Below are 27,932 nucleotides of genomic sequence, written 5' to 3' on the forward strand. Positions count from 1 at the left end.
GGTGGTGCAGCACTGTGAATATAATTAATGCCATTGAATTTACACTTAAAAACTGGTATAATGGCAAATAGTATGTGATATATATTTTACCACAATGTTTTAAAAATTGACTTTGTTAATAAAATGAAAAAAAAAAGGTCACTGTAAACTACTAATCACTACTTTTATTTTGTATTCAAGGTCACAATCAACCAGAAGAGGGTTCTTTTGCTCTGTCAAATAAATATATTTAAAAGCTAGCAAACGTCAGAGAAGAGTTTTATCAGGCCTATAAAAGAGATGAGGGAAATTAATAGTTATATACAGCTACACAGAGTTAACATATTGCAAGGGAAACAACTATATTCAAAGGCTTCATTTCTAATACTTGACATTTCAAATTTTGAGAACATTAAAATTATTGTCAAACAAAACTCAGACCACATTAGCAATGTTTATAAAAGGGAGCAATTTAATCATTATATTACAGAGTGCTTTAAGAAGTTTTTAAACGTGTAAAAGAAAAAAAAAAAGCTTAGTGCATTACGGTCTTTACATTGCTTCTTTTTTAAAAAAGTTAACAGTAGTATGAAAAAAGCCACCCACAAAGCCAGCTGTCTGAGTGAGGAAATCAGCTACATTGCAGCATTTTGGAATTACTAATAAAGCTATAGTTAAAAAATAAAAAGTTTATAAAAATGAAAGCAGCATGCATATTCAAGGCTTTTTCATAACATTTTCAATGGCTGAAAAACATTTAACCAAGAGCTTAATATTTATTATCCATTAAATTAGAGAAAATAAACTGGCTAAGCCTACATCTGGTCATTCAGAAAAACATGTTAAAATCCAAAGCTAATTAAACTGAACATTTCTTCTACGAAGAAAGCGCATTTTGAAAAATGGTCCTATGGTCACAAAAGAAAGGGTTCTTCCCAATATGAATGAACAGCACCAGTCTTTACAAAGTTTGTAAATTAGTATGAACTTTCAGTCTCCTGATACGGCAAGAGTTAACAGTTAACACTCCCATGATTCATAAGTGAAAAGCTAACTTTTAACTCATTATGATCAGTTCAGAATTTTTTCTCTATTCACTGAAACTGTTATAAAATTTCACTGAAAGATAACTCTTAAAAATTCTGATCTGACACCTGTATAAACATTTCTGATTTCCACGATTGTAAGAAAACACTAAGTATACATTTACTACGTGATTCTTTTTCACATTTTTGGTGCAGTATTTATTTCAAAGCTTCACCCTATCCAAATTACCATGTCAGTTTCTTTTCCTTCTTCAGAATTAATTTCCTGCAGTTTAATAAAAAGCAAATCAGCTTCTAATGGAACAAGTAACAGTAGAAACAGTGGTATTCATGGATGTGTTTAATGAAGGATCCAATTATTAAGGGCCAGTGAAACCATAAAATCTTATTGTTTCAACATATATAAATAGGCTGTTTTTACATTTGAAATTGTATAAGCCCATGCACAACTTTTAATCTTAGTGCAGGGTCTGATAAATAAGACATAGTAATAAATCAGGGTTTTTTTTTTTTTTTTTTTTTTACCCATTTCTAACAATTTTTACTGTAAAATTTTTGGTCAAAGTTCTAAGCTTAATCACATCTCAAAGAATAGAGGCAATATATAGCCCATCTTACTAGACATACAGTATTAAACTGGACTGAATATGAGGACAAGCTCTAGTGGTCATTAAACCCCCTCAGAAAGTCTAAGATTCAGAATGTCTCCATCATATTAGAAGAAAAATGTACTGTATTAAAATTTAAATTGCATTTTTACAAGTTGTTTTTTAATTAGTGTTCTATTTACATTGCAGAACTTCCACCAACTGCAGTAGTTTAACTTTGGCACAACATTAAGTTCCATTTCTTTTGGGTATTGGATCCTGCTTTTTGAGTGTGTATGCCCCAAAACGTTTTCAATGTCATCAAAGATTGGGCAAATTCACAGTAAATCAGACATCTTGAGTTGAAGAATTGATTCTCCTTCAACGTTTTAGGCAGCTAAAAAAGAAAAACATCATAAAAAACTGAAAATTTAAAGAAAACCATATTTTAATTTTTACTACTTTTAGAAATAAAAGTGAAAATACATCTTTTGTATTCTCTTGAGATTACCTGCCACATATGTCTTCCATAATACACTAGGCTTTGTGTGCAACTCATCTATGTATATGTTCTTCATATGCTAGATTTGCTTATAAACATTTATCATCTTTATGTAATAATTTATTTCAAACTGTATGAGCAGGGAGTATATATTTCATTGTCAGTATCTGTAATAAGCAGACTATGAAATCTAAAGACTTGTACTTTTTTCTATTTCTATACAAGGTGCAAAAGATATATATGTACCTCACTTCCTGTAATAACTATTTTGGGAAGGTTTTGGTAACTTTTTTGGTAAATTGAACAATATTTAAATGAAGAAATAACTATTTAGAGAAGGCTATGGTGAATCCTCTTATAAGTGAAAAATTATTTTACTCAGCCAAGGATAACTTGATGTTTCAGAAATTTAGACTTTTGTGTATTTAAAAAGGCATGCTTCTATGCTATCACAAAAGTATATAATATGGTTTGGCTCTGTGTCCCCATCCAAATCTTACCTTGAATTGTAATTATTAAGGGACAGTGATACCACAAAATCTTATTGTTTCAACATATGTAAATAGGCTGTTTTTACATTTGAAATTGTATAAGCCCATACATAACTTTTAATCAGGGAGTGTCGGGGGAGGGAGCCTGGTGGGAGGTGACTGAATCATGGGGGTGGACTTCCCCTCTGGCTGTTCTCATGATAGTGAGTGAGTTCTCAGGAGATCTGGTTGTTTGAAAGTTGTGTGGAACATCCCCTTTCGCTCTCTCTCCTGTTCGGTCATGGTGAGATGTGCTTGCTTCCCCTTCTTCCCCTTCGCCTTCTGCCATGACTGTAAGTTTCTTGGGGCCTCCCAGTCATGCTTCTTGTTAAGCCGGCAAAACTGTGAGTCAACTAAACCTCTTTTCTTCATAAATTACCCAGTCTCAGGTCGTTCTTTATAGCAGTGTGAAAATGGACTAATACAGTGCATGTATAGCATACATCATACAGTCTTTTGAAAACTGTAGTTTTAGGATGAATTTTCTGACCAGAATTAGTATCCATTACAGTGTTAATATATAACATAAGAATTATCTATACAAAATTAAAGGTCAAACTAAACTGTACAGAAAAATTCACATTATTTTTGGAAGACTGCAACTCCCCAAAAAAATCATTGCAGAGGTTACAACAACAACATTCACTGCAGCAACAAATTTGTTGATTTAATCTTGGCTGAGTGCACATTCTTGTGTTTAGCAATAAAAAAAATGCCTGTTAAAAATATTTTATGTATCTGGGTCAGAAGAAAGCCTGCTCTGAAGATTTCTGACATTAGGAAATGGAGGGCTGCACTTCAGGATAAAGCTGTATGAAACTGTTTAACTTCTTATAACCTAAAATGATTACATTATACCCTATAACCTGGAATGATATTTATACTGCTTATTAAAACAGGTACATTTTTAGTTTCATCTGTTATCCCTTAAAAAATATTAACAAGGAGAAAACCTGAAAAAGGATTGCCAAGCAGTAAGAATAGTGCCTGGTACATATTAAGCTCTCTATAAATAATTGTTAAAATAAATAAAACCAGAGAGAAGATGTAAGGGAATTAAGGAAAAACTGCACAGAATAACAGAGCATAAAAGTAGGGGATGGGATACTCATGCAAAAAGCCAAGGAAATAAGTAAGCATGCTCACGTATAAAATAATAATGAGGGTCTACGTCTCATTTCCTTCCTTACTGTTTGAACACAGCAGTCATTTCTGATAGCAAGATGCTATTTGGACTACTGACAGACATACACAAACATTTCATGACAACTGCATTGTTTTCAAAACAGTGTACTTTTACCCCGGAACACTCCAAAACAAAGAATAGCAAAGAATAAAACTATGTTATTAAATTCCAGAAGTATTAAGAATTCAATTCCTAACTCCAAAGCAGGTATCTGATTTGCAACTACAGTTCAACTTTAATTAATCCAATTTATAAAAGAACTAAGATTTAAGGAACATGCCAAAACCTTTCAAATTTAAGCCATATTTATTTGCATTTTTAAGACTACAGAGATATACTTTAAATCAAATACAATGTTAGTGCTGGTAGCAGGTTTGTTTTATACCAAAGAATGAAAAGATATTTTAAGCAATTGGGTTTATATCAAATCTGTTATTTGCCTTTTGATCTCTAAAACAGAAATAATTTATATCACAGTTTTCAAAGACAGATGCCGCCTAAGCAAACATGAATTTATATATGGCCTAAAACAGACCTTTGACTTTTAACAGAAAAAGATATTGAGTAATTTTATAAATTACTAAAAAGATACTGAGTAATTTCATAAATACATAAAGCATTTTAAACTCTAGTTAAAAGTCTAGTAAAGTTTTGGGAGCAATGCAATGAAGATGAAAAGATACCCATTTTCACCTAGTTTCCTAAAACTGCACAATCCTCAACCCTGTGGTAAGTCTTTCCTTTGGTGTACTTTTCCCCTTCTTTTTAGTTTTCATTTTTGAATTATTTCCTTAAATAGGCAAAAAATGAAGCTTTAGTGAAGGGGGCATTGCAATAAAATACATTTTAGTTATCTTTAGTATTTGTTTGTGAATCCCCTCAACCTGCCTGCCAGTCTCCCTTCATAGAGATTGGGTAACTTTCCTTCAAAACAAAGTAAAAAAAACCCAATTCATATGAAAAATAATAATTAAGACATTAAACTCTACATAATAATAATAAAACTACACATGATAATCATTTATCTCTTAGCTATACTAGTGGTACCTAGTCTTATTAGGGAAAAGAAAAACTACTTCAGAAAATATCAAAAATGAAGATGACTGATACAACAAGGTGACTGTTCAAAATGTATGTGGTTGATGAACATATACGCAGATTAAAAATTTTCTTAACTTACATTTCAGTCATCTGATTTAGACAGCTTCCGTTTCACATGTCGTGGAGGTTCCCAAGTGTCACTATCATCTGTTTCTTCTTCATCCTCTTCCTGGTCATCAATAACTTCATCTTCCTCCTCATTTTCCTCAAATAATTCTATACCTAATTCTGATCTTCTCTGTCTTTCTGCAAACCACTCTCTGACCTGCTCATAGCCCATATGTGATTTGTTAACAAGTTCATCAAGGTCTTGCTCATTAAGAAACTTGTGCTTCAGGTAATAATCCTTAAGTATTGCAGTTCCAGTTTTAAATTTTATGAGTGATGGTCCCCTGTCCCAGTTGTTAATTCTTTTGCTTCCTCTAGGCCGCCCACGCGGTCTTCCTCTTCCCCGTCCTTTGGGTCTCCCTCTCCCTCTTTTCCTAAGGGAAGACAGACCATTCATACTACTTGAATTGGCGCTCTGATAGTAGTAGTACCATTTCAAGTTTCCATTCTTCCAAGCATAACGGGTGTCCCCAAACCAACTAACTATGTCTGTTCTAGCAAGCCCGCTTTCTTTGGCCAACTTGTCATACTCTTCTGGTGATGGCCACTGTGTCCGGACAAATGCACTCTTAAGCATGTGCAGCTGCTCAGGTGTTTTTTTACATATCTTGCCTGTACTCCCTGACTTAGGTGCACCAGATTCATCTGCAGGAGAAGTTTCTCCAGCTTCTTCTTTGGAACTACCTGCATTACTTTCATCTATTTCCATTTTCTCTTCCTTTAAAGCTTTTGATTTCTTCTTCTCTGTAAACCAAGCATCGATTTCTCTTCTGGTAAGTTTGGTTTGTGCCCTTAACCTATTTAATTCTTCATCTGTAAGTACAGAGCTGTTGAGAAAACTTGCCTGAAGGACACGAAGCTGCTCTGCAGTTTTCTCTTTAAACTTTTGGGGAGTAAAGTCAGGAAAAGGATTCCAGGATTGCTTAGGCTGTGCAGTACCAACAGTTGGGGATTCCGTGGTTTCATCACTGGAGTCTATAATAATGGTGGTAGAGGAATCATTGTTGAGATGTAAGCACTGATTACTCTTTGAATTTCTCTGGTTGTACCTTGTGTCACTAAACCATTTTTTAATCTCTCCTTTCGTCAGGCCTGTTATTTTCATAAGTCTGATAATTTCTGAATCATGGGGAAACTGATTTTTAAGGTAGCTAACTTTTAATTCTGCCAGTTGCTCTTTTGTCTTTTTTGCCCGAATGCCAAATGAATCAGGGTTTACCAATGCAGTTTCATGTTTGACACTTTGAGAAGTTGGAACTGCTGCTGTTGCTGGCTTTGTTTCTGCAGTAGGCTGAGCAGCAGGTACCTGACTTTTCTGTATATTATTTTGACTTGGAACGCCTGCCACTGTCAAGGCTATAGGTGCTGTAACTGGCAAGGTGTTTGTTCCAGCCACTTGAGTAAGGACCAGACCAGGCTGACCAACTATTTGGCATGTCTGTAAAATAGATGGTAAACCATTACTCCCTGTGGAAATGTGTGTAGGAATAACAGTTATGGTCTGAGGTACAGTATGCACTGTTCCATTGAATTGTTTCCTTCTTGCCTCCTCTACTTCCTCGGGAGTCCAACTAACACCATGTTTTAAACGTTGGGCTGAAAACCATATCTTGATCTGTTCCTCTGTATATTTTGCTTGAGCAGAAAGAACTGTAATTTCTGACATTGTTGGGTAAGGGAACTTGTTGTAGGTGTTAAGTAAAAGGGGATTGTTATCCAATGCAGCATTGTAGGTGGGAATGCTATTAACAGGGATTAAGACTTTGGGAATCAAATTAGAATTCTGCTGAGCAGATACAGCAGTTATCACCTGTGCCAATCCAGGAAGAACTGCTGCTGGTGTCACTACCGTGCTGGCAGTACTTGGATGTATTCTGTTTACAATGGAAGTACTTGTATTAGATTCAGAAGCTGAAGAACTTGGATTTTCTACAATTTCTTCACGGTCTGGTTTGATTTCATTCTCTTTCTCTTCAGGAACGTCCTCAACTGAGTTATGATGAACTGCAATCCGTTTATTTTCCACTTTATTTTTCATCATTTTCATGATAGGAGTTTTACTGATAGATATTCCCGAAGAAGAAACTTCTGTAGATTCTGCTTGCTCTGCATTCTCCTCTTTAACAAAACTACCATCAAAAGTCAGATCATTTATTGTTTGTTCAAAGATTGTCTGGTTATTACGTTTCACCATAGTCAACTTAAAATTCTCTTCTCCTGGGTGATATTTCAGATTATGCTCAGAAAGTGCATCATACCTTTTGGTAAGAAAATTGCATTCGACACAAACATAGGATGAATTTAGCACTACATTGGGATGTTCCGAATCCACATGAAAAGTAAACATATTTAGATCTGGAGTTTGAAAAGTACAATATTTACATTCATATCCACCTTCAACTTTTTTATTTTGCTGATTGTCTGAATCCACAGATTCATGAACCTCTTCATCACTTGAGATACTCTCTGCTCTGGTGTTTTCTACAGGTGTAAGCACAGGAGGACCTTCATCCAAATCTGATATCAACTCAAGGTCTGGATCTTGTTCACTGGCAAGGACCATGCAAGGTGTTGTTGATTTTCGCCTGCTTGCCATTCTGATGTTATGAGGAAAAGCTCAGTGGTGATTAAAAAGCATCGAGGCTTAAAACTGTTCAGTGTTCTTCATTTGAAAACAATGGCTTTTGGTTCTTCAAGTCCATTTTTGTGCTCAACAAGTCTCATTAGCAGCTTTCTCATGGTGCAATCAAGTAAAGAGCTTATTGTTGGCAGATAAAATACTGCTGAATTTCTGAAATTTTTGAAGCACAACTCCAATCACCTACATTAAAATAAATTTTAAAATGTTTTAAAATGAGTAACTATGATCTTTTAAACAAATTATAGTTATAGTTCACTTATATGAAGTGGCTGGATAGCTCAGTTACAAAGATCTAGAATAAGATAAGAATCAGAAAAAAATGTCCTCTAAAGATCAAAATAAATCTCTCCAGGCCAACTCATTGAATGTTAAGTACTTTACCTTGGGTCAGACACAAGCTTATTCATTTAAATTTTTTAGCCAGCTATATATTAGAAGACAAGGGGGAAAGGGCCTGCTTTGGCAAGCACACTATTATTAATGTGAAATGGCAATGTTAACAAGGAGGAACTTTAACACTATAAAAAGCATTCACAGATACTAAAATATTATGGCCATTAAGTGTGTAAGAAATTCAGCCTGGCCAACATGGTGAAACTCCGTCTCTACTAAAAACACAAAAATTAGCCAGGCGTGGTGGCAGGTGCCTGTAGTCCCAGCTTCTCCAGAGGCTGAGGTAGGAGAATCGCTTGAACCCAGGAGGCAGAGATTGCTGTAAGCCAAGATCATGCCACTACATTCCAACCTGGGCAACAGAGTGAGACTCCATCTCAAAAAAAAAAAAAAGACAAGAAATTTAATCCATTAGTTCATTAGTTATGTCCTCTTCTTCCTACTGGTCTATCTCATCAGCCAAAAGCATGCTTCAAGTATGGCAAAAATAGCAAAGATGGAGGATGAATGATCAAAGTTTCAGAAACATTATTATTATTATTATTATTTTTTGAGACAGAGTCTCACTCTGCCACCCAGGCTGGAGTGCAGTGGCGCAATCTTGGCTCACTGTGACCTCTACCTCCTGGGTTCAAATGATTCTCTTACCTTAGCCTCCTGAGTAGCTGGGATTACAGGCGCTTGCCACCACGCCTGGCTAATTTTTGTAGTTTTAGTAGAGATGGGGTTTCACCACGTTGGCCAGGCTGGACTCGAACTCCTGACCTCAGGTGATCTGTCCGCTTTGGCCTCCAAAAGTGCTGGGATTACAGGCATGAGCCACCGTGCCTGGCCTACCAGAAACATTATTCTTAGCACTTGCCACAATGCTACCAAAAGTTATAAAGCAGATCTAATCACATCAGTCTCCTGACACAGGTTCCTAATGTTGAAGGAATAAAGTTCAAACTCCTTGTGGGACATATAATCCCTTTCACAACCTAGTCTAACCTCACTTTCCTTCCTCCTGTTTCCTTATGCTTTAGGTATACCAGAAATGGCTGCCATTCCACAGACATTCAATGCACTTTCAGACCCTTACTCAGGCCCTTCCTTAGGTTAGGACACTTGATGTGTTGATCTGTGTGCCCTCTAGGACAGCAGTCCTCAACCTTTTTGGCACCAGGGACTGGTCTCATGGAAGACCATTTTTCCACATACCGCGGTGCGAGGGGATGAGATGGTTTTGGGATGAAACTCTTCCACCTCAGATCTGGCATTAGATTCTCACAGGGAGTGCGCAACCTAGAGCCCTCGCATGCACAGTCACAATAGGGTTGTGCTCCTATGAGAATCTAATGCTGCTGCTCATCTAACAGAAGGCAGAGTTCAGGTGGTAATGCTTGCTTGCCTACCTCTCACCTTCTGCTGTGCGGCCCAGTTCCTAACAGGTCATGGATTGGTACTGGTCCATGGCACAGGGGTTGGGGACCCCTACTAGAGATCACCTTCTCCCTTTCATTTGGTCCCATTTCCTCCCGTTTATTTTCTAGTCTAGTACTTACCATACTGTACATGGCAGAGTAATGTTACATTTCTGTCCCTGCACCACCATCCATATCTGTGGTCTCCTTACTCTAGATATTGTGTCTCATTTTTAATAACAGCTTGCTATAATTTGGATGTTTGATCCCTTCAAATCTCATGTTGAAATTCGATCCCCAATCTTGGAGGCAGAGCCTAATAGGAGGTGTCTGGGTCATGGGGTCAGATCCCTCATCAACAGTTTGGTGCTGTCCATGTGGTAATGAGTGAGTTCTCGCTCTACCAGTTCCTGCAGGAGCTGGTTGTTAGGAAGAGCCTGGCACCTCCCCACTGTCTCTCTTGCTTCCTTTCTTGCCATGTGATCTCTGCCCACATGCATTCCCCATCATCTTCTGTCATGAGTGGAAGCTGCCTGAGGCCATCACCAGCAGCAGATGCTGGAGCCATGCTTCTTGTACAGTCTGCAGAACTGTGAACCAAAGAAACCCTTTATCTTTCTAAATTACCTAGCTCTGGGTATTCCTTTATAGGAACACAAAGAGACTGAGACACAGCTTTTTTGAGATAAAACAAAGTCCCCCAAACTCTGGATTGAGCCAAGGAACTTTGTATCTTCAACCTAATACTCTCCCAGCTGAGCTATTTTGGCTGACATCTCATTAATGTTGCATTCCCAAGTGCATATAAGAAGCCTGAATTTAGGGAGGTAATCACTCAATGTTTATTAAATTGACTAGAATGAAGAGGAAAATAGTCCTACAAAACTCAACAGGACCTGCAGGAGGCATCACCATAGAGAACAGTATCTGAAATTCACAATAATAACTTTAAATAATCAAGAAAAAATGAATTAGGATCATAAAATATATTTAAATAAATTTTATACCTAAAATTTTTAAAATAAAAAGTTTTATGCTAAGTAAAGTTTGTGTTTCTGAAGTCTAATCCAACTGAAAACGAATAAAATGGGTAAGTGATTTCATTTATTCTTCACCACAAATTAGAGCTATTTTTAATTTACTGGCATCCCAGCTGAATGGAGAAGAAGAGAGTTTGCTTCAAAAATTATTAAGCAAAACCAGGTCCCTATGAGACAATACATCTAGTCAGTAAATGGAGAGACATTTTTAGGAAAGAGAGCAGTCCTAAGAGAGAATATCCTGACTTTGAAGGACGGTAAAATCCTCCTCACTGGAATTATTCAAATACAGACTACACATCCAAGTAGCAGAAGGAAAATTGGACTAAATGTCCTTTGTTCCCTAATTTCCCATATTACCAAATAAAGAGCATCAGTTTAAAAATAATAGTGGTATTAATAATCCAGATCCCTACTCTCAAAGATGTCATTCTTTTTTTCTTTAAAACACTCTTGATTTCTAAGATATTATAAAGAAATCACTGATATTTACAACTATTTCTTAACCAAATGTTATAAACTAAGCCAATGTTATCTTTTAATCAAATAGGGGTTGCCATTTTTTTTTTCAAGTATCAACACAGATGTTTGATCATTTTTTGTCATTAGAAACAGGGAATTCCTTAAATGGCTCCAAATAAGTGGTCCAGACATGGTGGTACACATCTGTAATCCAGCTATTCAGGAAGCTAAGGCAGGAAGATTCCCTGAGTCTACGAGTTCAAGACTGGGCAACATGGTAAGATACTGTTTCTAAAAAAAATAGTAAGTGGAAGAGTAATAAATGAGCAGCACTCATATTTTGAACAGTAAAGGGAATTGTTGAAAGGCAGAGGAGTAACCTATTTTGTGACTGTTACTTTCCTGGAATCTGAGAGAGACTATATTTAATTGGGGTATAATAATAGTTGGAAGGCAAGAGGGTTTCTTTCTGAAACTTTTTCCTCAAAGTGGTGGTTTTCAAACTTTTTGTTTTAAGCAGGGGAGCCCTTTCATCAAACAAAATGCTATGAGAAATCCCAGGTCAAAACAGATAAAAGAGAAGCCATCGGCCAGGCACAGTGGCTCACGCCTTTAATCCCAGCACTTTGGGAGGCCGAGGCCAGTGGATCACAAGGTCAGGAGATCAACCATCCTAGCCAACAGTGAAACCCCGTCTCTACTAAAAATACAAAAGTTAGCCGTACAGGTGTGGTGGCGAGCGCCTGTAATCCCAGCTACTCGGAAGGCTGAGGCAGAATAATCACTTGAACTCGGGAGGTGGAGGTTGCAGTGAGCCAAGATCAAGCCACTGCACTCCAGCCTGGGTGACAGAGCGAGACTCTGTCTCAAAAAAAGAAAAAAAGAAAGAAAAGAAAAAAAGAAGAGCTATCTGGTTGGAGGAGGCAGAGGCTAAACTACTCTCTGACCAAATTCCACGAATCTTACAATCCCCACTTCCACCTTTCAGGGGTTCTGAGATGTGTTTAAAAGCCTTTTGCTTAAAACTTAAACATATCGGCTGGGTGCGCCTGTAATCCTAGCACTTTGGGAGGCTGAGAAGGATGGATCACTTGAGGTCGGGAGTTTGAGACCAGGCTGGCCAACATGGTGAAATCCCGTCTCTACTAAAAATATAAAAGTTAGCCGGGCGTGGTGGCGTGCACCTGTAATCCCGCTACTCGGAAGGCTGAGGCAGGAGAATCACTTGAACTCGGGAGGTGGAGGTTGCAGTGAGCCGAGATCAAACCACTGCACTCCAGCCTGGGCAACAGAGCAACACTCCATCTCAAAAAAAAAACAAAAAACAAAAAAAACCCCACATATATATATAGAGAGAGATCTCAAGACAATATATCAGTTTCATCAAAAATCCTCCTCTCATTGAGCCATTGCTCAGCCATGAAATTTGAAAACTCATCTTGAGAGGACAGGTGCAGTGGCTCATGCCTGTAACCCCAGCACTTTGGGAAGCTGGCAGGGGCGCGGTGCATCACTTGAGGTCAGGAGTTCGAGACCAGCCTGGCCAACATGGTGAAACCCCATCTCTACTAAAAATACAAAAATTAGCTGGGCATGGTGGTGGGCGCCTGTAATCCCAGCTACTCAGGAGGCTGAGGCAGGAGAATCACTTGAATCCGGGAGGTGGAGGATGCAGTGAGCCAAGATCGCACCACTGCATTCCAGCCTGGGTGACAGAGAGAGACTCTGTCTCAAAAAAAAGACTATTTGCTTGCTATAATCCACTGTCAGGTCCCCATGATTTTGCTAACAAAAGTAAGGTCAGTGTATTATTTAACATATTTCTAAAAAGAGACTGAGAAGTCCCAAAAGAGTTTCAAGATTTGGTCCAAAAGCTCAATTCTGCATAATGTGTATAGTCTAAAAATAGACCAAAGGGCAAACAAAGGTATCCTCGGAATTATTATTATAAAGTCATAAGTTTGGAGGAAACAAGGATCTTAATCTTAGTACAACTGCCCCATTTTTATGGAAGAAGAATCCCAGGCCCAGAGTAATTAATTCATAAAGTCATTGTGAATAGGGTAAAGCCACAGGTTTTGCAGTCACCTCTGTCAATTAGTAGTTAGGTGCCTGGAAGAGCTATTCAATTCAACCTCAATTTTCTCAAGATTCTTCAATTCAACAAATTTGTTGAATGTCAACCACATGAAAGGCAATAATGATGCAATGGTGACCAAGACAGGCAGTCTCTGGTTTTTCAGGTACCAGCAGTGAAGCAAGGAAAGCAAGCAGTAAACAATTACTTAGAATAACTATGATCAGTGCAGTAAGAAAGATATCAGTACACTGCAGGAGGCTTCTAGAAAAGAAGCAGAGAAGGCTTCCCTGGGGGAAAAAGAAATAGTAGTATCCACATCAGAGGAAGTAAAAATGCTTCCTTCACTTACTTTGATACAAAACAGGTGCCTAATTGATGCTATTTTCAGTCCCTGAAAAATTCTTTCCAGAAAAAAATAACATTTTTTAATATTATAAATTCTCTCACTTTTTTTTAGCAACTTAATCAGCTGAAAATGCACAAAAATTGGATGAAAAAGTAAAAGTAAAAATACAGAATAAGAATTTCTAGGATGTCGTTCCTATTCATCTCCCTTTGTCATTAAAGTGCAATGGGACTGGGACAGGAAAATTGCTGTATAGAAATCACTATTAGCTGAAGGCATCACATCCTCTATTTGAAGGTCAACTAAAAATAGGGCTCAAAATCAATTTGGGGAAGCTTGCACTATTTACCTATAAAAAGAGGTTAGAGGTCAGTTGCACAACTCAGTAGCTAGGTGACTCTGCAATTAAAACACAATTAAAATTAAGTTGGCCAATAAAAAAAAGTATGCTGTCAATGCATCCAGCACTGTAAATGTAATTACTTTTCAAAACTGCTTTCAGTTAACTTTTCAGTACGGGAAGTGTTTTTAGAAAACTGATCAAATTAATTTAATTGCTATACTGCCATTAAAATTGATAATCTTAAGAGTAATTAAGGAATATGGAAAAACTACCCATTTACTATTAAATTTTTTAAAACTCAGAAAATTTGCATATAATTATAATAACTGTGAGGAAATATGTATGCATGTGAACAAAGATGAAATGAGAGTATGTAAAAAAATGAAAATTTCACGAGATTATGGGTGACATTTTTATGTGTGATATTCACAAGTTTTCTTTTTCTTTTGCTTTGTTTTTTTCCTTTTTAGGGAGAACAGAGTCCCGTTACGTTGCCCAGGCTGGTCTTGAACTCTTGGGCTCAAGTAATCTTCCCACCTCTGCCTCCCTGTGTTGGGATTACAGGCATGAGCTATCCTGCCTAGCCTACAAATTTTCTTTAATATTGTTATCACATTGCTTTATTATAAAGTACAACAAACAACAGCTTCAAGACCCTAAAATTGCAAATAGACTAAAATATTTCTATGGCCAGTTTATGACCAATCTTTCTACGGTCAAGCTGGAAACAAGGTTTCTTTTCTATTATTAAGGCAAAAAACATGGCTACATAAAGGATTTTCCAGTGCTGGCTTCCACAGCACAAATACTAAAATTGGAACCATGCGGAGAAGATTAGCATGGCCCTTGGGCAAGGATGACATGCAAATTTGTTTAAAAAAAAAAAAAGAAAGAAAAGAAAGGGAGGGAGGGAGGAAGAGAGGAAAGTAGGAAGGAAGGAAGAAAGAGAAGGAAGAGAAGCGGGAAGGGGAGGGGAGAGGAGTGGAGGGGAAGGGAGGCTTGGAAGAAGGAAGGAAGGAAATATCAAAGTAAAAAAAAAAAAAAAAAAAGGATTTTCCAGGGAAGCAAGAATCCCTCAGTATGTAGCATTCAGGTATAGTTTTTGGAGCTCTGAGAAGTCAGATTGGCTCTAAGAGCTCTCAAGACCACTCAAACACAATCTCCAGGGTGTAGATCTAGACTAGCCAGTTTCCGTAGATCTATCTGTATACTGGATCTTCTCCTGAGGGTAGGATACCCATCAATCAACTTATGATTCTGAACTCATCAAAACAATTACAATTTTTACAATTTTACAGGTAATAGTTCTCTACAGAAAAGCATTTAATGAAAGCAAAATGTGTTTTATCACAATCTAAAAAGTTTGAGAGTTCTTATTCAAGTTCTTCTTTTATGATCAGAAAGAGTATCTACTTAGCTATCCACTATATTCCCAGGGCCCAACAAAATACTTATTAGGACCCCAATAATGTTTGCTAAAAAGTATCTTTAGGCCAGGCATGGTGGCTCACATCTGTAATTCCAGCACTTTGGGAGGCCAAAGTGGGCAGATCAATTGAGGTCAGAAGTTCGAGACCAACCTGGTCAACGTGGTAAAACCCTGCCTCTACTAAAAAAATACAAAAATTAGCTGAGTGTGGTGATGGGTGCCTGTAATCCCAGCTGCTTGGGAGACTGAGGCAGGAGAATCACTTGAACCCAGGAGGCAGAGGTTGCAGTGAGCCGAGATCGCGCCACTGCACTCCAGCCTGGGCGACAGAAGAAGACTCCGTCTCAAAAAAAAAAAATCTTTAAATATAACTATACTATGTATTATTACATACATTTTACTTCATTAAACACTCATTTATAGAAGAGCTATAAAAACAATTGTGCTTGATTTACTATAGATTACTTTCGATGGTAAAATTCTTAATAAAAATTACCTTAGTCATGAATATTAAAACACCCTTGAATCTAAAACATTCTATTTACTAAAGTACAGCAATGAACATTCAATAAACATTTACTAACATCTAAAATGTCATTGTAATACATCAGTTTTATATATGAATTGAGTATATTTAAATCTGTGAATTAAGAGTAAAACAAGGGAGATAAAACATTCAAAGAATGATTTTGGCAGTGAAATTCAGGAGAAAAGGGTATAGTTATTATAAAGACAGCAAATGCAAATTTGCACTTAGAATCATTACTTCTCTGTTTTATGAGAAAACTATACTTTAACAGTGTTCTACTACATTTTAAAAAAGATTAAAAATAAGTCCTCAATGTAATACACTATAAGAAGTTAGTGGATTGTTTCAAATTCTATGCTTACCCACTACTAAAAAAAAGTCTAAAATATTTTATAATTAAACAGAGCCACAACTGCACTGAATTTGCAAGCTTCTGGTTTTTCTGGCTGTTTGGACTTCAAATTAAATGATTAACAGATAACAATATGTTGGCCTGGTTAGCCACAAAAGCATGCTATTTGGTAAGATTTTACATGAATAAAAACAAACTTTTTTTTCTTGAGACGGAGTCCCACTCTGTTGCCCAGGCTGGAGTGCACTGGGGCAATCTCGGCTCACTGCAACCGCCGCCTCCCAGGTTCAAGCAATTCTCTGCCTCAGCCTCCCAAGTAGTTGGGATTACAGGCGCCCGCCACCACGCCTGGCTAATTTTTGTATTTTTTTTAGTAGAGACGGGGTTTCACCATCTTGTCCAGGCTGGTCTTGAACTCCTGACATCATAATCCACCCGCCTCGGCCTCCCAAAGTGCTGGGATTACAGGCATGACCCACTGTGCCTGGCCACAAACTTTGTTTTTTACAACAATTCTGGGTCAAATAAGAGCATTTAGGGCTGAGTGAGGTGGCTCACGCATGTAATCCCAGCACTTTGGGAGGCCGAGGCGGGTGGATCACCTGAGGTCAGGAGTTTGAGACCAGCCTGGCCAACATGGTGAAACCCTGTCTCTACTAAAAATACAAAAATTAGCCCGGCGTCGTGGCGTGCACTTATAATTCCAGCTACTCGGGAGGTTGAGGCAGGAGAATCGCTTGAACCTGGGAGAAGAAGGTTGCAGTAAGCCGAGATTGCGCCATTGCACTCCAGCCTGGATGATAAGAGCACAACTCTGTCTCAAAAAAAAAAAAAAAAGAGCATTTAGAAGATACTATAGTTTTTAGGGATCATGTTAATTTTGATGTAGCATCAAAAATAAAACTGTTCTTAGGTAGCAAAAATATACACACTGAGAATCCCTTGGAATCTGCATTTGTATATATACCGAGAATGTTTGGGACTCTGTATTCTATTTAGTTTCACTTCTCTCTGAGTCAAGAGTTCTGTTTAGCCAGCTGAAAATACTTTAACACGTTTGTATTCAACTAGAAGTTACAAATCCACAAAAATCACGGAATGCCTAAACAGTACAAACAAAGAATTAGGTCATATTAAAACAAAAGGTATCCACCGTGTTAAAAAAAATAAAGGTGATTTTATACAATTAAGGTATTTTCAAAGTTAAAATGTAAAAATAAAAATAAAATGTTAAAACATTTAGAAACATCAAGTTCTTAAAAAATTAAATTAGGAATTTGACAACACAAATTTACATCCACAGCAAATGTTTTTAAAGATTGCTGGTAACCTACAATCATGACCTGAGAGATAAGTCTCAAGAAAACTGTAAAAAATAGTCTCAAGACAATAGAAAATCAAGTATTAAAGTGAATATACAAACAGGAATAAAAATAATAAAAGTGAAAGCATCTAAGAAATTGTGGTCAAAGATAATCAAATGTCAGAGGATACCTTTGCTAATGCTAATTAAGGCTGAAAGGTAAGAAACCCTATCCTCTCTATCTGTTTTTTTCCATCTGAGAAAGCAGACCTTAATGACACTAAAGATTAAAAGAAGAATCCAAATCGGACAGATTTTTTTCTGGCAAGCTCTGACCACAGATTTGCGGGAGTGAAATGTCTTTTTGAAAGGTCTCTCCCTAGGACACTAACATCCTAGTTTTCTCCCCACAGCTGGCAGGTAGGTAGGTAAGTACGTAATACATTGAAAGTGATATATAAACTAGCAGTATCATGAAATCTCTTATCTTGTGAAGAGTTTGTGAATGTGATCGAAAAGTCATTTTCTACTGAAAACAATTTTTCCCTACTTTTCTCAAGAAGGTGTGTTAAGTCTTTTACAGCCAGTCTAACACAAGAATGCTATTCTCAGTTCCAAGTGAGATTACCTTTGAAGACTGAAAAACCATTCATCTGGTCATTATCTTCCCTATTTATAATGGTAAGGTAACTGTTACCCACTTCACTGAGGATATAATGATTTGATTTTTCAAAATACTTTGAAAGATAATAGTAATCAGTATTGGTAATATCAACTTATAAGAACTCTGTTATCCATTTTTTAAAAATGAAAACTGCCACATTAATGTTTATCAAATCTTTCCTAGTATTTTCTGGAATCATCTAAAATAACAATAGGACAAATGCTTCTTATAAAAGCCAATTAATTAATCAGATAAAATATAAAAACAATTATGTACAAATACATTCAAATATATATATATTTTTTACGTCACACAGGTAATGTGCCAGTGTCATAACAAGGTTTGAGAAAGGCACATTTCACACATAAGCATGAAAACCCAATCATCACACTTAAGAACTACAAAAGGATCAATATTCAAATATTTAAGTTTTGGTATGGTTAATATAAGTAAGAGTATTTAATTAATATCCTGACTCTTATAATTAACTATTATTAGTAGCCTACGTTTTGAAAATACAGTTTCAGAATTTGTTCTTGTACATCCTGAAGCATTTTTCTGGATATAGGCAAAAGCATAGCAAAATTTCTAGATCAATTTCCCCATACCAAAGGTACATTTTGTCTTGTTTACCTCTGTTATCACAGCACTTGGTATAGTGCCTGACACAGCAGATTTTATCAAATACTAATTTTAAAATCAATTATAAATATACAAGATTTATTATGAAGTATGATGCCGTCTCCTTTTAAATTAAAGCAGTCCTATACTTATAGCTCTTAAAATTTGAAAGTATATTAAAAAAAAGTGTTAAGCATATGTCTGCTGCTTTTTAAGGAAAGCTTTTAAAAACTTTAGACAAATATAGTATCATGGGATCTAAAGTGAGTACATTCAGTATCTGAGTTTTACCATACCAAAACAATGAAACACATACTTGCCACAGCTTCCTTAGCATTCTGTTCTTTGAAATGGAAGGGTATCCCTTCTAGTTAGATGTTTAGCTCAGGCCATCATTACCAACAGGTCCAAAGCAGCAGTCTGTCTTCTCCTACAAAAAAGTCATATTTTATTATTCTAGATATAATTTAGCCTTAGTCAGGAAATTTTTACAATTTAATGCCTTAGCTTTTAATAAATAAATGTAATTTTGAAAAAAAAAGTTTATTCCCTCATCAAAACTTTAAAAGAACCATTTAAATACCAATCCTAATATTGGTAGTAAACACAAAAACTACACATTAAAAAAACTCTATTTATATCATATAGAACAACTAAATAACTATTAGACCATTTTGAATAAAATTTCAAAACGTGAATATATGCCGTCTCTAGTGTGAAAATTGAGATGCAGAAATTGGGAGTTCTTTAAAATGAGTATACCGGCCGGGCGCGGTGGCTCACACCTGTAATCCCAGCACTTCGGGAGGCCAAGGCCGGCGGATCACCTGAGGTTGGGAGTTTGAGACCAGTCTGACCAACAAGGAGAAACCCCGTCTCTACTAAAAATACAAAATTAGCTGGGCGTGGTGGCGCATGCCTGTAATCCCAGCTACTCGGGAAGCTGAGGCAGGAGAATCGCTTGAACCGGGGAGGCAGAGGTTGCAGTGAGCCGAGATTGCGCCATTGCACCCCAGTCTGGGCAACAAGAGCGAAACTCTGACTCTAAATAAATAAATAAATAAATAAGTATACAAAGGTTATGAAGACAATTTAGTTAAACTAAGAAATGGGAGTAGTTGTATATGTTTATGTGTTAGTACATAAACCTAGTGATATTTGTATCCTAATTTATTATGTTAATCAGAATGGAGAGGATTATTAATGCTGACAACACAAGCCAAAACAAGTTAAACAAACTAGTAGTACTTGATCTACAAACATGGGGTTATCTAACAAAATGACTGGTGTTTAGCCATGTCGTTTTTGCCTGAAAGCTACTACCAAATGGCTTTACAATCAGTGCACTGTGAAGTATTAACATCATGCAATCAAATAAACAGAAAATAATTCTCTGAAAATTCAATTACTGTCCAAATATGTTGTTGTATATAATCTAGATCAGTTAAACCCATCAGAAAAGTTTAATAAAGCTACAATTGCTTTTCTTACTAGAACAGTCATAAATAACACTTTTGAAGGGTTAAAGCATTTTGGTTGTATTCTTTTTTTTTTGAGATGGAGTCTCACTGTGTCGCCCAGCTGGAGTGCAGTGGCGCAATATCGAATCACTGCAATCTCCGACTCCCTGGTTCAAGCGATTCTCCTGCCTCAGCCTCCCGAGTAGCTGGGATTACAGGCACACGCCACCACACCCAACTAATTTTTGTATTTTTAGTAGAGACAGGGTTTCACCATGTTGGCCAGGATGGTCTCTATCTCCTGAGCTCAAGTGATCTGCCCGCCTTGGCCTCCCAAAGTGCTGGGATTACAGGCATGATCCCTAACCGGCCTTTTGTTGTATTCTTTAAGCACTATTCTCTGTAAACTATAATGAATAAATATTAAGGAAGAGTATTTTCCCAATTAACCTTATTTTTTTATTCCTGCTACTATTACATACAAGTTTATGAAGAAACTTCTCACATCAAGAAATAATGTAAATACACCAGTCCTTTAGTAAAATACCTCTAGGTTAGGTTAAAACTTAGGCTGAATAAGTACACTATTTTCATGAAAAGCAAAAGAGCATTTTCCTGGTAGGCCCAGTGGAGCATCTTATTATCTCTGTAGCCTGGGACTCTACAGTTTCATTTCCTGGTATCTCCTTGTTCCGCCACTCGTTAGCCATCAATCTACAGGATGTGGACTAGAAGAGAAGATAGGAAACAGCTGCCAAAGAGGGAAGGTTATTTTCCAAAATGAATTATTAATACTTTAGGAATCTGGTAACCTACTTCAATCCATTCTTAAAATCACACAGTAATTGCAAGATATTTTACCGAATGAGTCTCTTGAGAAGAGCTGCCAAGACATGTAAAGGCACCAGGATACCAGAGGAGCAAAAATGAGCTCATCAGTGCTTTTGAATGAAAATCCTAGTTGCCTGATGTTATTTAAGTTCCTGATACTGGGATTACTTTAGAACATTTCTATCTAATTCAAAGTATTTTTCTTAATTTAGTATGAGTGAATTCCAAAAATTAAAGAGCTCATCTCAGCTATGTACATTATATAATAAAACAGAACAAGCTGTTCTGGTAGTAGATGGATTACAAAAAAAGACTGAGAGCTTGGAATTTGGAACAGACTGGGTTCAAATACAGCATGCCACTTACTAGCTGTGTGACTTTAGAAAAATGGCTTAGCCTATCTGTGCCTCAGCCCCATCATCTATAAATGGGACTGGTAATATTAATAGGATACTATTTACTTAATAGGGTTGTTGTGAGGATTGGAATAGGTAACACGTGTAAAGTTTCTGGAATATTCCTTGGTACTTAGAACACAATGAATGTTAGCAAAGAAATCTTTCTTTAAAATTTGCTAACTGTTGACAAGTGATAAAATACTTTAAGAATCTGGGTAACAACCAACCAACAAAATTTATTTGCCATTTCATACCTCTGAGCATATTAAATCATGCTGGAACAAGTTGGCTTCAAAAGGCAGATACTAATCAATCAAATTTAACCTCTCCCCCCACAAACTTTTTCTGACCTTAGCTTCAAAATAAATCATTACTGTATGACATATTTAAGGGGTATTTCATAGAACTAGCAAACATCTGATATAAGTAATTTTATCATAGTAACGAGGAGAAATTGTTCTCATGATCTTCCCCACTCCCAAGTATAGCCCATGTCTAGCAAAATTTTAACAAACTTCTTTTTAAGAATATTGATGGTAAAAGAGAATAAACTTAGAAGAAAAATATAATTATTAGTTTAGTGCTTAGAAATATCAGAACCTCCTATCTTCTTTCATTTCTCACTAAAAAACAAAAAAGGAAAAGACTTTTAAGAAGGGGAAAAAGGAAGTTAGAAATCTTGAGAAATAGGAAATCACCAAAATTTAATGAAAGAGTTATTTTATTTACAATAATATATGATATGGCTATGACTTCGATATTTTAATTTTGTTAAGATAAATTCTGATAATATTTTTTAAAATCTAAAACTAAGAACTGAAAATTAAAATCTTGCATTAAAAATGATTTATTTGGCTGAGTGCAGTGGCTCACACCTGTAATCCCAGCATGTTGGGAGGCCAAGGCAGAAGGATTGCTTGAGGCCAGGAGTTTGAGACCAGCTAGGGCAACACAGTAAGACCCTATCTCTACAAAAAAAAAAATTAAAAATTAGCCGGGCGTGGGTGACACATGACTGTAGTCCTAGCTACTCAAGAGGCTGAGGAGAAAGGATCGCTTGAGCACAGGAGTTTGAGGGTGCAGTGAGCCATGATCATGCCACTGCACTCCAGCCTGGGCCACAGAATGAGACCCCGTCTCAAAAAAAAAAAAAAAAAAATGTATTCAACTGGCTCCCTTGAATAAACATAATTCTTAAACTGCTCATATATACTTATTTTACAAAGTATATCATCACATTTGTTTAGACCAAAGGTATACAGTCTTACCTCTTAAGTTGGAAACTGATTGTATAAAATGCCAAGATTAAGTATCTTTTAAGATCAAAACCTGGCAACTACATACAAAGTTACATATTAATATTTACTTTAAGAATATCCTGTATAAAATGCAGATCTCCAAAATGTAAACTCAAATGTATATTCTGATTAATAATCTAAGTCAGCAACTTTAGTCATGCAAATCTGGTTATTGATGACTACAAATATATCAGAGCAACAAGGATACAATAAAATTTATCAATAATAGTATAGAAACATTGGCTCTTATTCTAAAGATAGTATCAGTTTTAAAAACAGAACTATAACTTACTTTTGAAACTACGTAGGATTATTTAAAAGGATTTTAAGTTCAAAAAATTTAGTCTTAACAGTAAATGTGCTTATCACAACATAAATAAATATTTATAATGATTTAAAAAATGTGTATTACTGGCTAGCACCATAAACAGTACAATAGATAATTCCAAAAATCTCTCTGAATAATTGCACTGACTATGATATTAGATTAAAAACTAGGTGCTGAACTTTCAACACTGTTTATTTAAGTAAAGTCTTTGGGCCCAAATCCACAATGCTGCAACACAAATAAAAGGGTTATTTCCTCAGCTACATTTGTGATCATTTTAATAATTTTAAAAGCATTTTCATTTAAGTATTAAGTTATAATTTACAGCAAACTAAGTCTCAAATATCACATTTTATGCTTAATTAGCATAAGAAATATAATACATCATAATATAACCTTTCCATCTTAATATAAAATATAATAATACAAAAGGGAGAAAAATCTTCAAAATGAACCACCTCTCCTATGCTATTAATTTCGCTAATAACTGTAAAACTTTGTCCCCAATTATTGAAAAAAAAAGAACTTACAATTATCATTAAAGGTGAAATAATTGCTACATCATGCATGAACTACCCCCCAAATCCGGTGAAATAATAAGCTTAGCTATAAAGGAAAGAAATCCACTAATGAGTGTTCACTAGCACAGGCACATTTATGTTTTCGGATTTAGCATATTTTCAAACCATCTGGCATTAATGCCTCTCTGGTTCACCCAGCCTAATCTGTTCAGAATTGAATATAAAACCAGAGCTACATGAACATTGAGGAAACCAAAGAACAGCACACGTGCATAAAATGTTCCAAATGTAAAGTTCTAAACTAGTTTCTATTTGAACTGTATCTTTAAAACATTTCCATTGAAGACGTTAAAGCTCTTTCGAAAATACAAGAATGGTTCAAGAAATCTCTATGAATCATCACTATCATCAGTTACCCAAGTATTACCCTTTCTCATTTTAATCCTGATTGTCAAATAAGGCGTCTGAAGAGGTACTTCAACAAAAAAGATTCATTGATAACTGAAATGCTATCATTTTATATCGAAAAGGTCCACGATTATACATTTTACTTTGTATAAAATTAGTCTGCTTAGCCTTAACATGCTTTGGGAAAGGAGAGAAAAGCTAAAAGGAAAAAAATATTCATGAAAGCCCTTTTTCTTTTATGTCCTGTTACCGCATTATTGTCATTGGCAGCACTCACATTTCTTTTGCTTAAAATCAGGAGTCAGAATTGCTACTTTAGAAATTAAAATAATCGATGGGTATACTAGGGCCAATTTCCCTGTTAAAACCAACTCCTGCTCACCTTCGCTCCCGACATAAAAACAAATGACTTTTTCAGAATAATTTTTCAGAAACGAAGATAATTAATGTAGCACCATATAACACAAATTAAAGCTTTCAGACAAAGACTGAGAAACAATGACCAACACCAGCAAATCTAAAGTGCTCTTATATATGTATACACACAACACACACACACACCCCAAACCAAATATTCACTGTTCCTGGGGGGAGACTGCTTCTTCCTCCCTAACCGTGAACCGCTGTATATTTTCCAATTTTGTGATTTTCCTTTTTCTGCTATCACATTAACCTCCAAGAGAACTGCTTAAGTTACATGGAATCCCAACCTAATCACATCACGACTTCTCTCTCAGCCTTTACATTTTTCTCTCAAATATTAGCTCTTCGCATTTTTTTTTTTTTCTAATAGCTGGGCTGAGTTGACAGAAAAGGGCTGTGGAATTCCTGCTCTGTCCGATATCTTCCCTGTATTCCTCTTTTCTCATCCCTAGTCTCTGTTCTAATTCCCCCGCCTGCTGTCTCTCATTGACGCCTTCCCAGCTGCTGGATCCTTCACTAACCTAAGCTAAGGATATCAAATGGAATCTTTTCCTTCTCAGGGGCTATGCTCTTTCCTTACAGTTACCCACGGAGGAGAGAGGACAGGAAAGGTACTAAAACAAAGAATTGCCAAGTCCCTTTACCTCCAACTTTGGTGTAAATATATAAGGAAAGGGGATCTGCCAGGGCTCTTCTTTCCTGCCCTTAGACCTTGTTCCTCTCACACCTCTCCTTCCCAGCCTTTTATACCCCTTGAGGTATTAGTAGATTGTTCACTGTGGGCCCTAAGGCTTGGAGGATTCCCATGGGTCAGCCCCCACACCCCCACGCCCCTACCATCCTCTTTAATTAACTTCTCCCTAAATCCCAGGGCTTCGTCACAATCGTAATATGGTTCTTAAGGACTCAACTCCCAGTCTTTCCCAAAGTTGGGACATGGCCTGGCCCCGAAACGGGTGCGCATAGCCTTCCTTGAACTGGAGGTAAAGACTTCTCCTGAAGGGTTTGCTGGGGCTCCAACCTCAGTCAGTGCGCTCAGCTCCAGCAAGAGAATCTCTCCTTACTCTCAGGGAGACTGGGTCCCCCACGAGGCAGCCACACGCCCCCGGAGGACAGCGCTCCTGACCTCCTCTAGGACTCCCAACATTACTGGGGTGCTCCCTCCGGCGGCGCCCTCCGCTGGGAATACGCAGTCTTCACTCCTCTCAACAATCCTAAGTTGCTGGGTCCTCACCAAGGCAGGGGGCTGAGATGTTCCCTCCAGAGAGCCCCCCGCCCCCAAGCTCTTTCGGTGGCGGAGACACCCAAAAAGAGCGAGGGAGGCTGTGGGTCTGTCTGTCCCTCTGCGGCGACTACCCAGCCGCGAGGCAGGCCCCGTCCCTCCCCCTCGGACGCCCCACGCCGGGTCCACCCCGCCACCCGCCGCCGCGAGCGGGCTCAGCCCCAGGGGTCTCTGCTGTGAGGCTGCCCTCCTCCCGCCAGGCCCCGCGCTACTCGCCTTTCCCGTGCCGGCCGCGGACTCTGCGCTCCAGTTCCCACCCGCAGCCCAGAGTCTCCGGGCCCGCTGGTCGCGGAGCCGGCTCGCGCCACTACCTGCAGGGGCCGCCGCGCCTCTCAGCGCCACGCCGCCGCCATCTTGCATTTCAAACCGGCTGCACTTTTCAGGGAGTCAACTCTGACCTGTGAACCCTAAACCCGGAACCGCTCGGCGGGCCCGCAAAGGGGCCTCAGCAGCTCGGTGGCCCCGCGGAGTGTGGGGACTCAGGGTGGGGGTGCGAGGAGAGGCGCGCGCCCCAGCGGCCGTCCGGGGGCGGAGGGGGAAGGGAGAGAGCCGGCCAAGGCGGGGCCCTCCCGCGCGCGCGTCCTCCGCGCGCCCCCACCCCGTGCGGCGCCGAGCTCTCCACGCCCAGACCCTGCTACTCCACTGGGGTCCGACCCCGGCCCCTAGTCCGGGGATTGGCGCACCGCGGGAGGTAGGGAGGCGCCCCGCCCCCCTGTCAACAGAAGCCCCGCCCCAGACTGCGGAAGCTCCGCCCCCTGTCAGGAGACGCCCCGCCTTCCCAGGGCTCGAAATGGCCCCGCCCTTTGCCTGCGACCGCTCCGCCCGCTGTGGACTGAAGCCTGGTCTTCTCTCGGGTCAGCACAGAAGGCAGCCCCGCCTTCCTTGCGCTCCGCCTTCCTAATGTCACTGCTGGATCGTGAGAGGTAAGCATGCTGGCTTCTACTGAAACGCCCCTTGTCATCACACGCCCATCCCCTGGGGCGACACGACCCAGGCCCCGCCCCTCGGGGGGCTGCTGCGAGTCCGGCCGGGAGCCCAGCGCCCTGACAGAAGTCGCCGCGCCCCTTGTCAGCGGCAGCTCCACCTCTCCTCGCTTCGGACCCCGCTCCTCCGCGGGCCGCAGCTCCACCCGCTGACACCGAAAGTTCAGTTCAGCTGCACTCAGAACCGCCGGGCAAGGCGGAGCCGCCCTCTGCCCCTCAGCCGCCCTCCTCCCTGCGAACCGCCACTCGCTCTTCCAGAGGCTTCTGTCCGAGTCGAGGGCTTCACATCCCGTCGGCTTTCAGGGAACCAGCCCCGCAGCGGGGCCAGCGAGGGCCAGGGGTTTCGGGAACACTGCCCGGCGTCTCCGCCCCTCCCTACTCACTTTCCCTTTCCCCCGCACCGCGGTCAGAACGTGGAGGAACAGAACCAAAGCGGAGAGCGGCGACTCACCCTCCAGCTGCTCCACACGCCGGGCCTTGGACGCTCGAGCGCTCCTGGGCCCCTTGACGTTCACTCCCCACCCCCATCCCAGTCGCGGACCCTTTGTGCAGAGCTCCGCTGAGCCACAGTAATCCTAAAAGCACAGCAGAGCTCCGCTGAGCCACATTAATCCTAAAAGATGCAATTGCTTCAAGTGGAAGTCTGATTTTTTTTTTTTTTTTGAGACGGAGTCTCGCGTTGTCGCTTAGGCTGAAGTGAAATGGCGCGATCTCTGCTCACTGCAACCTCTGCCTCCCGGGTTCAAGCGATTCTCCTGCCTCAGCCTCCCGAGTAGTTGGGATTACAGGGGCCCGTCACCTAACGCCGGGGTAATTTTTGTATTTTTGGTAGAGACAGGGTTTCGCCATGTTGGCCAGGCTGGTCTTGAACCCCTGAACTCAAGTGATCCGCCAGCCTCGGCCTCCCAAAGTATTGGGATTACAGGAGTGAGCCACCGCGCCTGGCCGTGGAATCTGATCGTTGAAATCAGTGTTCTACAATATTCTTTTTATTTGTAGGTTTCATCCTGGAATCCTAAAACTTGTGTAGGATAAGGCTTAATTTTATAAGCAAAGGTATTCAACCCTGCCACATTCAATGCCCTGTATTTACAACAAAAAATATAACACTGCTTTACTCTTCTGGAGTTAAATTCCTAATGCAAACTATCTCTACAAATAATTTCAAGAAACCAATGTAATGTTCTAATAAAGGTGAAAAAGGAGAAAGTAGTTCATAATAAAATACTGTATGTACTAATATCAAGAAAAATTTTAAAATAACAGAGTTTTCACAATGTAAATACTCTGCCACCAATAGAATGCAAAACAAAAACTGTCCCGGCAAAATTTCAGTATGCCCCTGAGGGGCAGTA

General features: G+C 38.8%; 2 protein-coding genes, 1 non-coding gene and 2 pseudogenes across 6 annotated transcripts in view, besides 5 other annotated features; 1 reads left to right on the plus strand and 4 right to left on the minus strand.

The window, feature by feature from the left end:
- Positions 1 to 25,975, minus strand: part of ZHX1-C8orf76 (ZHX1-C8orf76 readthrough) — a 48,096-nt gene extending 22,121 nt beyond the window's left edge. Inside the window, exons 1-2 of the mRNA NM_001204180.2 lie at positions 25,906 to 25,975; positions 18,962 to 19,075 (exon numbers count right to left, since the gene is read on the minus strand). Of these exons, the coding sequence (NP_001191109.1) occupies positions 18,962 to 18,982 (21 nt within the window). The 5' untranslated portion in view covers positions 18,983 to 19,075; positions 25,906 to 25,975. The remainder of the gene's footprint in view (positions 1 to 18,961; positions 19,076 to 25,905) is intronic.
- Positions 145 to 27,230, minus strand: ZHX1 (zinc fingers and homeoboxes 1). Of its 4 annotated transcripts, none has more exons than NR_037873.2 (4): positions 27,029 to 27,230; positions 18,962 to 19,075; positions 5,011 to 7,860; positions 145 to 2,009 (listed from the first exon to the last, which is right to left on the minus strand). NR_037873.2 is itself a non-coding variant. In NM_007222.5 (4 exons), the coding sequence occupies exon 3, from the start codon at positions 7,633 to 7,635 to the stop codon at positions 5,014 to 5,016; it is 2,622 nt and encodes an 873-aa protein (NP_009153.3). In that variant the 5' UTR covers positions 7,636 to 7,860; positions 18,962 to 19,075; positions 25,906 to 25,975; the 3' UTR covers positions 145 to 2,009; positions 5,011 to 5,013. The 4 variants fall into 4 exon arrangements, 2 of the variants coding, with proteins under 2 accessions (NP_009153.3, NP_001017926.1); NM_007222.5 differs by lacking the exon at positions 27,029 to 27,230 and adding an exon at positions 25,906 to 25,975; NM_001017926.3 differs by lacking the exon at positions 27,029 to 27,230 and adding an exon at positions 25,811 to 25,975.
- Positions 2,734 to 2,943: an enhancer, noted in NCBI's record as "active region_27870". NCBI's record gives its function as "activates an Ori minimal core promoter by ATAC-STARR-seq in GM12878 lymphoblastoid cells {active_cell/tissue: GM12878}" and the evidence as "EXISTENCE:reporter gene assay evidence [ECO:0000049][PMID:35858748]".
- Positions 10,174 to 10,246, minus strand: TRF-GAA12-1 (tRNA-Phe (anticodon GAA) 12-1; annotated as a pseudogene).
- RNU6-628P (RNA, U6 small nuclear 628, pseudogene) lies at positions 14,532 to 14,638 on the plus strand (annotated as a pseudogene).
- LOC124902080 (small nucleolar RNA U13) lies at positions 18,331 to 18,434 on the minus strand. The gene has a single exon (XR_007061211.1). It is a non-coding gene; the product is annotated as a small nucleolar RNA U13 (small nucleolar RNA).
- Positions 25,232 to 25,599: a silencer, noted in NCBI's record as "fragment chr8:124285783-124286150 (GRCh37/hg19 assembly coordinates)". NCBI's record gives its function as "represses an EF-1alpha promoter that drives an FKBP-Casp9 reporter gene in an ReSE screen in HepG2 liver carcinoma cells {active_cell/tissue: HepG2}" and the evidence as "EXISTENCE:reporter gene assay evidence [ECO:0000049][PMID:32094911]".
- Positions 25,636 to 25,835: a silencer, noted in NCBI's record as "silent region_19496". NCBI's record gives its function as "represses an Ori minimal core promoter by ATAC-STARR-seq in GM12878 lymphoblastoid cells {active_cell/tissue: GM12878}" and the evidence as "EXISTENCE:reporter gene assay evidence [ECO:0000049][PMID:35858748]".
- Positions 26,036 to 26,725: a silencer, noted in NCBI's record as "silent region_19497". NCBI's record gives its function as "represses an Ori minimal core promoter by ATAC-STARR-seq in GM12878 lymphoblastoid cells {active_cell/tissue: GM12878}" and the evidence as "EXISTENCE:reporter gene assay evidence [ECO:0000049][PMID:35858748]".
- Positions 27,206 to 27,325: an enhancer, noted in NCBI's record as "active region_27871". NCBI's record gives its function as "activates an Ori minimal core promoter by ATAC-STARR-seq in GM12878 lymphoblastoid cells {active_cell/tissue: GM12878}" and the evidence as "EXISTENCE:reporter gene assay evidence [ECO:0000049][PMID:35858748]".

The sequence above is a fragment of the Homo sapiens genome, chromosome 8, assembly GCF_000001405.40.
Source record: "Homo sapiens chromosome 8, GRCh38.p14 Primary Assembly".
Classification (NCBI taxonomy): domain Eukaryota; kingdom Metazoa; phylum Chordata; class Mammalia; order Primates; family Hominidae; genus Homo; species Homo sapiens.

Excerpts from the sequence above, each read along its gene's own strand:
- ZHX1 (NM_007222.5), bottom strand. The coding sequence starts at position 7,635 with ATGGCAAGCAGGCGAAAATCAACAACACCTTGCATGGTCCTTGCCAGT.